This window comes from Homo sapiens, chromosome 1 (genome assembly GCF_000001405.40).
Source record: "Homo sapiens chromosome 1, GRCh38.p14 Primary Assembly".
NCBI classification, from domain to species: Eukaryota; Metazoa; Chordata; class Mammalia; order Primates; family Hominidae; genus Homo; species Homo sapiens.
The window spans coordinates 109,014,897-109,028,886 of record NC_000001.11 but is presented as its reverse complement, the minus strand read 5'-3'; the positions used below and the strand labels follow the sequence as shown (position 1 = coordinate 109,028,886).

The 13,990-nt window shown below is 42.0% G+C and overlaps 1 protein-coding gene across 15 annotated transcripts in view; it reads left to right on the top strand.

Annotated features, from left to right (window-relative positions):
* Window positions 1-13,990, top strand: part of WDR47 (WD repeat domain 47) — a 71,889-nt gene that overhangs the window by 13,216 nt on the left and 44,683 nt on the right. For 14 of the 15 annotated variants that reach the window (NM_001142551.2, XM_011541028.4, NM_014969.6 and 11 more), the window contains exons 2-3: window positions 5,366-5,532; window positions 11,286-11,369. In NM_001142551.2, the coding sequence (NP_001136023.1) occupies window positions 5,375-5,532; window positions 11,286-11,369 (242 nt within the window). In that variant the 5' untranslated portion in view covers window positions 5,366-5,374. Of the gene's footprint in view, window positions 1-5,365; window positions 5,533-11,285; window positions 11,370-13,990 lie in introns of those variants that run through there. The other variant, XM_011541031.2, reaches the window with a different exon arrangement.

Here is a 13,990-nt window from a genome sequence, read left to right as displayed (position 1 = left end):
GAATATAGATTTATTTATTACCGTTGAACTGTACACATAAAAATGGTGAAGATGGTAAATTATATATGTATTATTAAATACATATTAAATTAATTAAAATTAACCTCAAAAATGTTTTTTAAAAAAAGTTTTTTAAGGCCAGGCACGGTGGCTCATGCCTGTAATCCCAGCACTTTGGGAGGCTGAGGCGGGCGGATGACGAGATCAGGAGATCAAGACCATCTTGGCCAACATGGTGAAACCCCACCTCTACTAAAGATACAAAAAATTAGCTGGGCGTGTTGGCACATGCTTAGGCTAAATAGCTGGATTGCTTCAGTCACAGCTCCATCCTTTTCAGTAAGTTTTTGAAAACAATTAAAAACAAAGTCCTCTGGGCCAGGCATGATGGCTCATGCCTGTAATCCCAGCACTTTGGAGGTCGAGGCGGGTGGATTGCTTGAGCTCAGGAGTTCAAGCAGTCAGACTAAGCCTGGGCAACATGGCGAAACCCAATCTCTACAAAAAAAAAAAAAAAAAAAAAACCCAACAAAAATTAGCTGGGCCCAGTGGCACATGCCTGTGGTCCCAGCTACTTGGGAGGCTGAGGTGGGAGGATTGCTTGAGCCCAGAAGGCCAAGGCTGCAGTGAGCCATGATTCAGCCACTGCACTCCTGCCTGGGCCTCAGAGTAAGACCCTGTCTAAAACAGACAAACAAACAAAACCATAGTCATCTGTTCTGTACTTTTGTAGAGACATTTCTTCAGTGACTTTACATCTCAAGTTAATTCAGCTAATATTTATTTATTGAACACATATTATGATTATATGTGCATCTCATTTTAAAAGATAATTTTAGTAGTTCCTAAACTTGTTAAAATCTTTTGCAGATTTATAGCTCCCCCAGAGGAGAGGGGAAGAAGTAATTATTATTGAATTCTGTTTCCCTGAATTAGAGAAAAGTTCTAACTTTGTGGTGAATAGTTATTTATTTATTTATTTGAGATAAGGTCTCACTATGTTGCCCACCTCAGCCTTCCAAAGTAGCTAGGATTACAGGAAATAGATGTTTAAAATATGTATATAGCTGGGCATGGTGGCTCATGCCTGTAATCCCAGCATTTTGGGAGGCTGAGGCGGGTGGATCACGAGGTCAGGAGTTCAAGACCAGCCCTGCCAAGATGGTGAAACCCCATCTCTACTAAAAATACAAAAATTAGCCGGGCGTGGTGGCAGGCACCTGTGATCCCAGCTACTTGGGAGGCTGAGGAAGGAGAATCACTTGAACCCGGGAGGCGGAGGTTGCAGTAAACCGAGATTGCACCACTGCACTCTTGCCTGGGTGACAGAGCAAGACTCCATCTGGGGGAAAAAAAAAGTATGCAGTATATATCACTTACAGAGGTAAGATTTTGGGAGCCTGTATAAATGTTTCAGTAATACAAGGGAGTTAGAAGAGAATAATTCTAAGATATAGTCATCAAGCATGTGCCTATGCCTATATTTATACTGTATTCAGCAACAGTGAAGCTTATAAGAATTAAAATTCTGGGCCAGGCTTGGTGGCTCACGCCTGTAATCCCAGCACTTTGGGAGGCTGAGGTGGGCGGATCACCTGAGGTCAAGAGTTTGAGACCAGCCTGGCAAACATGGCGAAACCCCGTCTCTACTAAAAATACAAAAAATTAGCCGGTTGTGTAAGTGCACGCCTGTAATCCCAGCTACCCAGGAGGCTGAGGCAAGAGAATTGCTTGAACCTGGGAGGCGGAGGTTGCAGCCAGCCGAGATTGCCACTGCACTCCAGCCCGGGCAACAGAGGGAGACTCTGCCTTAAAAAAAAAAAATTCTGTGTTGGGTGATTAAAATATATTATTCTACTGGGAATTTCAAGGTATAGAATTAAAACTTGTCTTTTTTTAATTAGTTTTTTTTTAAAAAGAAAACTTGAACCAATTTTAAGTTAATTAGGACATATTTTCTGTTACCTTCAACTGTCAGTATAAAATATGTATTTGTAAGAATGTAGTTCTCTTAGGCTTTATTAACCAAAAATGACTGCAACATTAAACTTGTAGTTATTATTTAAAGTGGGACTATTGCCATAAATTCCATTCAGAGTAACTTTATATCTGGACTGATATTTAGATTGAATGTTGAATATGAAGCCTATACAATGTTTAGTATCATTGGTATATTGAGCTATATTAGAAAATTATAGTCCCAATTGTGCATTAAGTTTGTGTGGTTGGTACATGGAGATATATGTGATGTGCCCTCTAAGAACCTACAGAGGAGGGAATATTTTTTTCTGAGAGTTAAATTAGTAAAAGCCATTTTTTTGCTAGTAAGAATTACCTGAAGGGCTACTCTGGGCACACTGCCTATTGGGTAGCCTGCTCTGCAAGGAGCAGTAAAAATAAAAAAAAGAATTGTCTAAAGATTTGAGGAATGCTAAAATCACTAATCAGTGTGCTCTAAGAATAATATTAGGGAGACAGTTCTGATATGATCAGAATTTAATGAGTAGTTTCCACGGATAACCTGAAAAAAAAAAAAAGGTGGGCACGGTGGCTCATCCCTGTAATCCCAACACTTTGGGATGCCGAGGCGAGAGGATTGCTTGAGCCCAGGAGTTCGAGAGCAGCCTAGGCAACATAGGTAGATCCCGTCTCTACAAAAAGTAAAATAAAAAATTAGCTGGGTACGGTGGCACACACCTGTCATCCCAGGTACTTGGAAGGCTGAAGCGGGAGGATCACTTGAGCCTGGGAGGTCAAGGCTGCAGTGGGCCATGGTCATGCAACTGCACTCTAACCTAGGTGACAGAGCAAGACCCTGTCTTTAAAAAAAAAAAAAGAATTTAGTGAGTGGAAATCTTAACTTATTTTACCGTATCCTCTTTTGGACGAAGTCTGTGAACAGGAGGATGGTGGTCAGCTCAGAAGATAGGAAAGGGAAACCTAAAGCATGCGGAGTTGGGTAGCTGGTGTGTTGGGAGATAAGTTTGTGATTTACTGTTTCCTGAGACAGACATATTCTTACTCTGCAGAGGGATTTGTGTAGTCTGATGTCATTAAATATTTGAGTGAGTCGTATAATTATTTTTCTGTGGTTTGTCCCTTGTTTACCCTAGCGCCACTTTTTTTTATTTGTTAGTTTTTTTTTCTTTTTCCGAGATGGAGTCTGGCTCTATTGCCCAGGCTGGAGTGCAGTGGCACAATCTTGGCTCACTGCAACCTCCGCCTCCTGGGTTCAAGCAATTCTCCTGCCTCAGCCTCCCAAGTAGCTGGGATTACAGGTGCGTGCCACCACGCTCCGCTAATTTTTGTATTTTTAGTAGAGGTGGGGTTTCACCATGTTGGCCAGGCTGGCCTCAAACTCCTGATCTCATAATCCACCCGTCTCAGCCTCCCAAAGTGCTGGGATTACAGGTGTGAGCCACTGTGCCCAGCCTTCTTTTTTTTTTTTTTTTTTTTGAGGCAGAGTCTCACGCTACCGCCCAGGCTGGAGTGCAGTGGTATGATCACCGCTCACTGTAGCCTCAACTTCTGGGGCTCCAGTGATCTTTCCACCTCAGCCTCCTGAGTAACTGGAACTACAGGCACACATGCTGGCTGATTGTTATATTTTTGGTAGAGACCATGTTTCGCCATGTTGCCCAGGCTTGTCTCGCACTCCTGGGCTCATGTGATCCTCCCACCTCGACCTCTCAAAGTGCTGGAACTACAGGTGTGAGCCACCATGCCCAGGCCTCTAGCTGAGGGAGAAAATGTACTCATCTGCTGATGAGAGCATTCTAGTCTGCTAGACATTTGCATTTCTTGTTATAAACAAAAAAATCAACCCAAAAGTAAAGAAATGGAAACAACACTAACCTGTGGGCCTACATATATTTTTTGTTTTGTTTTGTTTAGAGACATGGTCTTCCTCTGTTGTTCAGAGGTGTGCAGTGGTGTGATCATAGCTCACTGTATGTAACTTCTAACTTCTGGGCTCAAGCGATCCTCCTGCTTCAGCCTCCCAAAGTGCTGGGACTACAGGCGTGAGTCACTACACCCAGTCCACATGTGTATGTTTATGTTTCTGCAAGCTTGGTTAGAATAAGTTGGTCCTGTGAGAAAGATATGCTTATAGTCTGTTTCATCTGATGAAGTTTCTTTGTGGCTACTCCCCTAGTGTGGTGGTATTTTGCATTGCTCTGAACCTTAACATTTGAAAACTGTAACAGTTTAGGCCATTTAACTTGTGTGGCTTCACTGGTAAAATTAGAATGTTGAACAAATGATCTTATAGTCCTCCCAGGTCTAAATCTTTATGGATTCATAACCTGAGCATTATGTGCTCAGTTGTAGCAGACCTACAGGTAAGAGTTAGAAGGAAGCTTAGAGAGTATTGAAATATCACTGATATTACCCATATGACTAAAGTTGCACTTTTTTCTTTCTTTTTTTTTTGAGACGGAGTCTAATTCTGTTGCTCAGGCTGTAGTGCAGTGGCACGATCTTTGCTCACTGCAGCCTTGATCTCCTGGGCTCAAGCGATCCTCCCACCTCAGCCTCCAGAGTGCTGGGACTATAGACACACACCATCTTGCCCTGCTAATTTTTTAATTTTTTTTGTACAGATGTGGTTTTGCCATGGTTCCCAGGCTGGTCTCGAACTCCTGAACTCAAGCAGTCCCTCCACTTTGGCCTCCCAAAGTACAGGGATTACAGGCGTACGCCACTACACCTGCCCTAAAGTTGCACATCTTAACTAACCTTGTTTTGTTTGGCTCCGCTGTACTGACCAGGTCATCATTTAGGTATTACTGCTAGACTAAAGCTTCTTAAAGCAAGGCCAATGTCTCCTGAGTACAGAATCATGTCTGTCACAGAGAAAAGGCATTAAGTACTTATTGAGTGAATGTATTAGAGCATACCTGGGACAATGTATTTGGGACATAGCTAAACATGGTTTGGTTATTAATGACTTTTTAAAATATTCTCTATTATGGAAAATTTTAAACATGTAGGAGTAGACAGGATTATATAATAAACCCTCATTTACCTATTACCCTGCTTCAGTAACCATAATCATTCTTGTTTCATCTTTATCTCTTCCCACTCTTCTCTTCTATTATTTTCATGTAAATCACAAAGTTTATATCATTTAATCTGTAATTATTCCAATATGTATTTCAAAGATAAGGACTTTAAAAAATCATGGCCATACCATTGTCACATATTAAAGAACGACTTGGTTTTGATAAATACTAAGTTAACTTCACTTCAGAATATGTGTACTAAAGATTCCCAGTAAACCTGTTATGTGTAGTTGCCAGGCAGTTAAACTTAGAAATAAATCAATAGGACTAGCTTTATTGTTTTTCTGTTTCATATTTAGGCTATCAATATGACGGCTGAAGAAACAGTGAATGTAAAAGAGGTTGAAATCATTAAGCTAATTTTGGACTTCCTGAATTCAAAGAAGCTTCACATTAGTATGCTGGCCCTGGAGAAGGAAAGTGGAGTCATAAATGGCCTGTTTTCAGATGATATGCTTTTCCTGAGGTATGATTTCATTATACTGTGAAGTTTGTAGCTCCTTCGAAGAAATGTTAAGTATTAATAAGGTAATATATATAATACAGATAGAACTTTATAATCATGAAAAGGCTATGTAAGTATAATTTTAAAAAATATTTTATTTTATTTTATTTTTTGAGACGGAGTCTTGCTCTGTCACCCAGGCTGGAGTGCAGTGGCGAGATGTCGGCTCACTGCAAGCTCCGCCTCCCGGGTTCACGCCATTCTCCTGCCTCAGCCTCCTGCGTAGCTGGGACTACAGGCGCCCATCACCACGGCCAGCTAATTTTTGTATTTTTAGTAGAGATGGGGTTTCACCATGTTAGCCAGGATGGTCTCGATCTCCTGACCTCGTGATCTGCCCACCTTGGCCTCCCAAAGTGCTGGGATTACAGGCGTGAGCCACCGCACCCGACCTAAAAAAATATTTTAAAAATAGAACATTTACAAAATAGGCTGGGCGTGGTGGCTCACGCCTGTAATCCCAGCACTTTGGGAGGCTGAGGCAGGCGGATCACTTGAGGTCAGGAGTTTTGAGACCAGCCTGGCCAACATGGTGAAATCCCGCCTCTACTAAAAATATAAAAATTAACCGGGCATGGTGGCACATGCCTGTAATCCCAGCTAGTCGGGAGGCTGAGGCAGGAGAATCATTTGAACCAGGGAGACGGAGGTTCCAGTGAGCTGAGATCGCACCGTTGCACTCCAGCCTGGGCAGCAGAGTGAGACTCCGTCTCAAAAATACAAAAATAAAAAAAAGGAACATTTACAAAATAATGCTTTCTGTAGAATGTTTTCAGTAGTAAGACCCAGAGGTCTGTTAAAAAGAACAAGAGTCATCACTCCATTGTGGTTGTGGTATGATAATAAAAGATATTTGACTAAGAAAATCGGACTTTGAAAAGGTAAAGAAAATGTTTCTGAAATACCATTTTTTGGCCATAGAAATAAGATGTGTTCATTATAGAAAATATAGAAAGATAAATAAAAGAAAAATTACCCCACCACACAGACATAATATTGTTCTTATTCCTTGCTGTTTTCATTCTTAGAGTGTAAATTCTGTGCATCTTTTTTTTGCATCTATTAAAAATAACAATTCTGTTGTGTTTATGATTTAGAATCATGCCTTATCTATTAACATCACAAGGTTTCTCTGTGTGATTACAAACTTATATTTAAAAAATTTTCAGGCTGGGCATGGTGACTCAAACCTGCAATCCTAGCCATTTGCGAGTCCAAGGCAGGCGGATCACCTGAGGTCAGGAGTTTGAGACCAGACTGGCCAACGTAGTGAAACCCCGTCTCTACTAAAAATACAAAAATTAGCTGGGTGTGGTGGTGCATGCCTCTAGTCCCAGCTACTCGAGAGGCTAAGGCAGGAAAATCACTTGAGCCCGAGAGGCAGAGGTTGCAGTGAGCCATGATGGTGCCACTGTACTCCAGCCTGGGCGACAGAGCAAGACTAAATAAATAAATAAATAATAAATTAAATAAATAATAAATTAAAAAAGGCCAGGCGTGGTGGCTTACGCCTGTAATCCCAGCACTTTGGGAGGCTGAGCCGTGTGGATCACTTAAGGTTAGGAGTTCGAGACCAGCCTGGCCAACGTGGTGAAATCCCGTCTCTATTAAAAATACTAAAATTAGCTGGGCATAGTGGTGCATGCCTGTAATTCCAGCTACAAATAAAAAATTTCAGTTTACTTAATTTCCTAATGGCTCCCCTAATTTTAAACAATTGTTCCCAATTTATCTTAAATAATTGCTCTACAGAACATTTTATACTTGCGCCTTTTTTTTTTTTTTTTTGAGATAGAGGCTTGCTTTGTCACCTAGGCTGGGGTGCAGTGGCATGATCTCAGCTCACTACAACCTCCACCTCCTGGGTTCAAGTGATTCTCTCGCCTTAGCCTCCCAGGTAGCTGGGACTACAGGTGCACACCACCACGTCCGGCTAATTTTTGTATTTTTAGTAGAGGCAAGGTTTCACCATTTTGGCAAGGCTGGTCTCAAACTCCTGACCTCAGGTGATCTGCCTGCCTCGGCCTCCCAAAGTGCTGGGATTACAGACATGAGCCACTGCACCTAGCTGAGACTTTTTCTATATATTGGATTATTTCCTTAGGACAAGATTCTTAGAGGTGGAATTGCAAGGCAAAGTGAAGTAACATGTTTGCCAAAATGGAAAGCTAAATATATTCTAGTCTGAATTGGATAGAAACGGAAAATCCCAAATTTGCAGGCAGAAGTGTATTCTATTTTTATGAGATACCAAATATCCTTGACAAGAAGTACAGATTCTTGGACATGTGGCATTTTGTGACTTGGAAAGCCTCAAGAAATGAAGTGTTCCTCCCAGGAGGCAGAGGTTTCAGTGAGTTGAGATCGTACCATTGTATTCCAGCTTGGGCGACAAGAAGGAAACTCCATCTCAGAAAAAAAAAAAAAAATGAAGTGTTCCTAGCTTATGAAAAGGAACCATTCAACAACAACAACAATAACAGCAATAACAAAGCTTTATTATATTAGGGGACTCTATTTAAACTTGTTGCACTTCCCTATATTTTGTGTTATGAATATCATCCAGCCCCAGGGAGCTTAGTTAATAGTGTAGTATTTTTTTAAGCACTATCTTTGAAGCATTAATACTCCTAGAAGTTAACAGTGGCAGCTCTCAAGTACCCTCCTGCTTGATTTATGATGAAATTTTACTGGTCTGAGGTGAAATGCAAAGAATAATAAAATAGTAGGTTTTTCATTAAACTAAATATGTTCGGCTGGGCACAGTGGCTCACGCCTGTAATCCCAGCACTTTGGGAGGCCAAGGTGGGTGGATCACGAGGTCAGGAGATCGAGACCATCCTGGCTAATGCGGTGAAACCCCCCGTCTCTACTAAAAATACAAAAAATTAGCCAGGCGTGGTGGCGGGTGCCTGTAGTCCTAGCTACTTGGGAGGCTGAGGCAGGAGAATGGTGTGAACCCAGGAGGCAGAGCTTGCAGTGAGCCGAGATCGTGAGCTTGCAGTGAGCTGAGATCGTGCCACTGCATTCCAGCCTGGGCGACAGAGCAAGACTCTGTCTCAAAAAAAAAAAAAAAAAAACAACTAAATATGTTCATCTTAAAGGGCTTGCCTTTGAAATTGTGTCCTTTCTTACATTTTAAATATTGAAATGCACCTTTATAAAATGATTATGATATACAGTGATTGCCTTATTTTTATTTAAAAAATTTCTTTATGTTAATTTTTTTTTTATAAAGGTAGGATCTTGCTATATTGCCCTTGGCTGATCTTGAACTCCTGGCCTCAAATGATTCTCCCACCTTGGCCTCCCAAAGTGCTAGGATTTACAGGCATGAGCCACTGTGCCCATCTTGCTTTTATTAATATTTCTTCTTTGCAGCATATTGTTAATCCTATGTAGGTCTTCCTGCCCATCCTTCCCATTTAAAATTTCTCTGTTCTAAAACATTCAAAAATAGGGAAATTGCCGTTGTGTAAGAAAAGATGTAAGAATGCCTTGTAACTTTTGGATATTCCCATAGACCATTTAAAGTAGGATGAAACTTGTTCTTATTCCTTGCTGTTTTCATTCTCAGTGTAAACTGTATTCTCAAAGCTGTAGATTTCACATAGAATTCACAATGTAGAGCAGAGTTTCTCAGCCTTGGCACTGCTAGCATCTGGGCCAGATAATTCTTTGTTGTGGAGGGTTGTCCTTTGTTGTAGGATGTTAACGGCATCCCCAACTAGATCCCAGTAGATCTACCCACTAGATCCCAGTAGTATCCCCAGTTGTGACTACCAAAAATGTCTTTAGATGTTGCCAAATGTCCTGACAGAATGCAAAATCACCCCCAGTTGAGATGGATTTTCACCATGGTGCCTCAGCCTCCTAACATGTTGGGATTACAGGTGTGAGCCACCACTCCCAGCTTTTTTTTTTTTTTTTTTTGAGACAGAGTCTCACTCTGTCGCCCAGGCTGGACTGCAGTGGCGTGACTTCGGCTCACTGTAACGTGCCTTGTAGGTTCAAGCAATTCTCCCTGCCTCAGCTTCCCGAGTAAGCTGGGATTACAGGCACCTGCCACCACGCCTGGCTAATTTTTGTATTTTTAGTAGAGATGGTGTTTCGCCATGTTGGCCAGCCTGGTCTTGAACTCCTGACCTCAGGTGATCTGTCTGCCTCGGCCTCCAAAAATGCTGACAGCCACCATGCCTGGCCCACTCCCAGCTTTTAAAATTCTTTTTACTTTTTTTTTGAAACAGGGTCTTGCTATGTCACCTAGGCTGCCAGGCTGGAGTGGAGTGGCATGATCATGGTCACTGCAGCCATGACCTTCTTGACTCAAGCGATTATCCCACCTCAGCCTTCTGAATAGCTGGGACTACAGGCATGTACCACCATGCCCAGCTAATTTTTAAATTTTTTGTAGAGATGGGGTTTTGCATGTTGCCCAGGCTAGTCTTGAACTGCTGGGCTCAAATGATCACCTGTTCTTTCTTTTTTGTGTGTGTTTTTTTGAGACAGGGTCTCACTCTGTTGCCCAGGCTGGAGTGCAGTGGCACAATCTCAGCTCACTGCAGCCTTGACATCTGGGCTCAAGTGATCCTCCCACCTCAGCCTCCCGAGTAGCTGGGACCACAGGCATGCACAACCATGCCTGGCTAATTTTTGTATTTTTTGTAGAGCCAGGGTTTCGCCATGTTTCCCAGGCTGGTTTCGAACTCCTGAGCTCGAGTGAATTGCTTACCTTAGCTTCCTAAAGTGCTGGGACCACAGACATGAGCCACTGCGCCCAGCCACTTGTTCTTAAAATAATATATAATAGCTTTAAAACTGTAAGATGAATATGGAAATATAGGAACTTTAAAGCTTAGTCCATTTTTTTTTTTTTTTTGAGACAGAGTCTCTCTTTTGTTGCCCAGGCTAGAGTGCAGTGGCGTGATCTTGGCTCACTGCAACCTCTGCCGCCCAGGTTCAAGCTTCTCCTGCCAGTAGCTGGGATTACGGGCGCCCGCCACCACGGCCAGCTAATTTTCGTACTTTTAGTAGAGACGGGGTTTCGCCATGTTGGGCAGGGTGGTCTCAAACTCCTGACCTCAGGTGATCTGCCCACCTTGGCCTCCCAAAGTGCTGGGATTACAGGTGTGAGCCACCACGCCTGGCATGTCCAATGTTTTTACATAGGTCAAAACCCACATATATATAGTTAGTATGAGTGGTTGCAGATTCACAAATTCTTCTCATACAGTGTATGTTGTTACAAATAAGTTATGAAAAATTTAGGCCAGGTGAGGTGACTCACGCTTGTAATCCCAGCACTTTGAGAGGCTGAGGTGGGTGGATCACCTGAGGTCAGGAGCTTGAGACCAGCCTGGCCAACATGGTGAAACCCTGTATCTACTAAAAATAGAAAAGAATTAGTGGGGCTTAGTGGTGCGAGCCTATAGTCCCAGCTTCTCGGGTGTCTGAGGCAGGAGAATCGCTTGAACACAGGAGTCAGAGGGTGCAGTGAGCCGAGATTGTGCCATTGCACTCCAGCCTGGGCAACAGAGCGACACTCTGTCTCAAAAAAAAAAAAAATTATGAAAAATTTATTTGAGGAATCAAATAAAATGTTAATCTCATTGTGTGCTTTATGAAGTTTGAATGCTGTTTTGTCATCTGTTCTGCTTTTAATTAGTATAACCTGAATTTGGTGACATGCTGGTTTTTTTAAATTTTTTATTTAGGCAGCTAATACTTGATGGTCAATGGGATGAAGTTCTTCAGTTCATTCAGCCTCTAGAATGTATGGAAAAATTTGACAAAAAAAGGTAAGATTTTATCTAAAGTTTTTAGTGTCTCATCATTGGTAGAAGCTTAGCAAAACAATGAACAAAAATTTTCATTTTCATTTTTCTTTCTCCACTGGCCTTGAACAGAGAGTAAACAAATTGATCTCTCTCTGTCACCCAAGCTGGAGTGTGGTGGCATGATCACAGCTCACTGCAGCCTTGGTCTCCTGGGCTCAAGCAATCCTCCCACTTCAGCCTCTCAAGTAGCTGGGACTATACAGGCGTGTACCATCAGCCTAGCTAATTTTGTATTTTTTTTAGAGTTAGGGTTTCACCATGTTGCCCAGGCTTCCCTTGTGTTCATTTGGATTATTTTAAGTTGATTTAATGTTCACTGACCCTTTCTTTTGCTATTAGCAATCTGTTGATAAATTGTGAATTTTTAAAAACAGGTTCTTGTTCTACCACCAGGCTGATGTGCAGTGGCATGTATGTGGCACTGCAGCTTCAAATTCAACAGTGAATTTTTCATTTTGAATATTGTGCTTTTCATTTTCAAATTCGTATAATTTTTTTGTAAGATTTTTCCATCTGTTCATTCATTATGATTATATTTTTCTTTAGGTCCTTCAACATACTGAGAGTAGCTGCTTGTTTGCTAGTGTAGTCCTTGTTTGGTAATTTGGACTTGTGCTTGCTTATATCAGGCTCAGTTTCTAATGATTGCCTTTTCTCCTAACTGGGAGTCACTTTTTGTTTTTTTTTTTAACTATATCTAATTATTTTGTAAATGTAATCTGCACATTTCAGCTTCACTCTTGAGGCTCTGAATTCTGTTCTCTTCCTACATAAAAAGTTTGATTTTCATACAGGCAGTTATTTAACTTAGGTAGCCTCAAAATGCAAACTCTTTCTCCCCTCTTGTGGATACCAGAGATTTGTCCCGAAATCTCTGCTCAGTTCTTTGGCCTTTCATCTGTTTTCTCCAGGCTCCTTGGAGTCTCCCTTGCATCTTCACAGTTTAGGGGATAGCCAGGGATATGGGTACCTAAGTTTATACAGTAGATTTTGGTATGTTTCCTACTGTGACGTCGTCCTTTTTTTGGATCTTCCTCTCATTTTTTAGCTGCTCTGGCAGTACCAAACTTTTTTTTTGAGACAGGGTCTCATTCTGTTGCCCAGGCTGGAGTGCAGTGGTGTGAACACAGCTCACTGTAGCCTTACCTCCTGGGCTCAAGTGATTTGCCTGCTTCAGACTCCTGTGTGGCTGGGACTGCAGGCGTGTGCCACCCCGCTAGGCTAATTTTTAAATTTTTTGTAGAGACCAGGTCTGACTTTGTTGCCCAGGCTGGTCTCGAACTTCTGGGCTCAAATAATCCTCTTGCCTTGGCCTCTCAAAGTGCTAGGATTACAAGTATGAGCCACTTTGTTCAGTCAGTACCAGACTTTTCAAGCTACAGCCTTCTGTTTGAGTTCTAGCTCACACTGTGTGAACTGGGGAGTGCCCTCAGCTGGAAAGCCTTATGCTGTTGAATATAACCCCTTAAATTTCTGGGTTTTTTTTTTTTTTTTTTGAGATGGAGTCTCACTCTGTCACCCAGGCTGGAATGCAGTGGTGCGATCTTGGCTCACTGCAACCTCTGCTTCCCAGGTTCAAGCGATTCTCCTGCCTCAGCCTCCCGAGCAGCTGGGACTACAGGCATGCACCACTGTGCCTAGCTAATTTTTGTATTGTTAGAAATGGGGTTTCACCATGTTGGTCAGGCTGGTCTCGAGCTCCTGACCTCGTGATCCACCCACCTTGGCCTCCCAAAGTGCTGGGATTACAGGCTTGAGCCAACGCACCTGGCAAATTTCTCTTTTTTTAAGGATTGACTTCCCTCTAGTTGTGCCAGCTTTTCAAATGCATTCAAAATAGTCATTTTTTGAGGCCAGGCGTGGTGGCTCACGCCTGTAATCCCAGCACTTTGGGAGGCCGAGGCAGGCGGATCACTTGAGGTCAGGAGTTGGAGACCAGCCTGGCCAACATGGCGAAATCCTGTCTCTACTGAAAATACAAAAAAAAATTGGCTGGATGTGGTGGCACATGCCTGTAATCCCAGCTACTTGGGAGGCTGAGGTAGGAGAATCACTTGAAACTGGGAGGCAGGGGTTGCAGTGAGCCGAGATCGTGCCACTGCACTCCAGCCTGGGCGACAGAGCAGGACTCTGTCTCAATCAGTCAATCAATAAACAAACAAATAAATAAAATCACCTTTTTTTGGTATTTTATGTAAGATTTATTGTTGTTATATGCAGAAATGTTAGCCAGATATAAGTTACTCTATCACTATCAGAAGTTGAACCTGTTGTTATTTTTTGATTTGCTATTCAGACCATGCTGCTTGATATTTCTTTGCGTTTGTACATTCTTTACTTACCTGGAATATTAATCCCTTCACCATCTCCTGCCTTTACCTGGTACACTTCTGATTGTCTTCTGAGAGTCAGTTGTTATGTCTTTTTTTTGTTAACTTTCCACCTCTTTTGTACAATTGGTTTCATACTTTTTTGAGGCCTTGCTGAACTCTGAATATTTCATATAATTTATTAGGTGACCCTCTTTTTGAAGGCAGGGATTTTGTTTTATTGGACACAATTTGCTACTACAACAGTGGCTG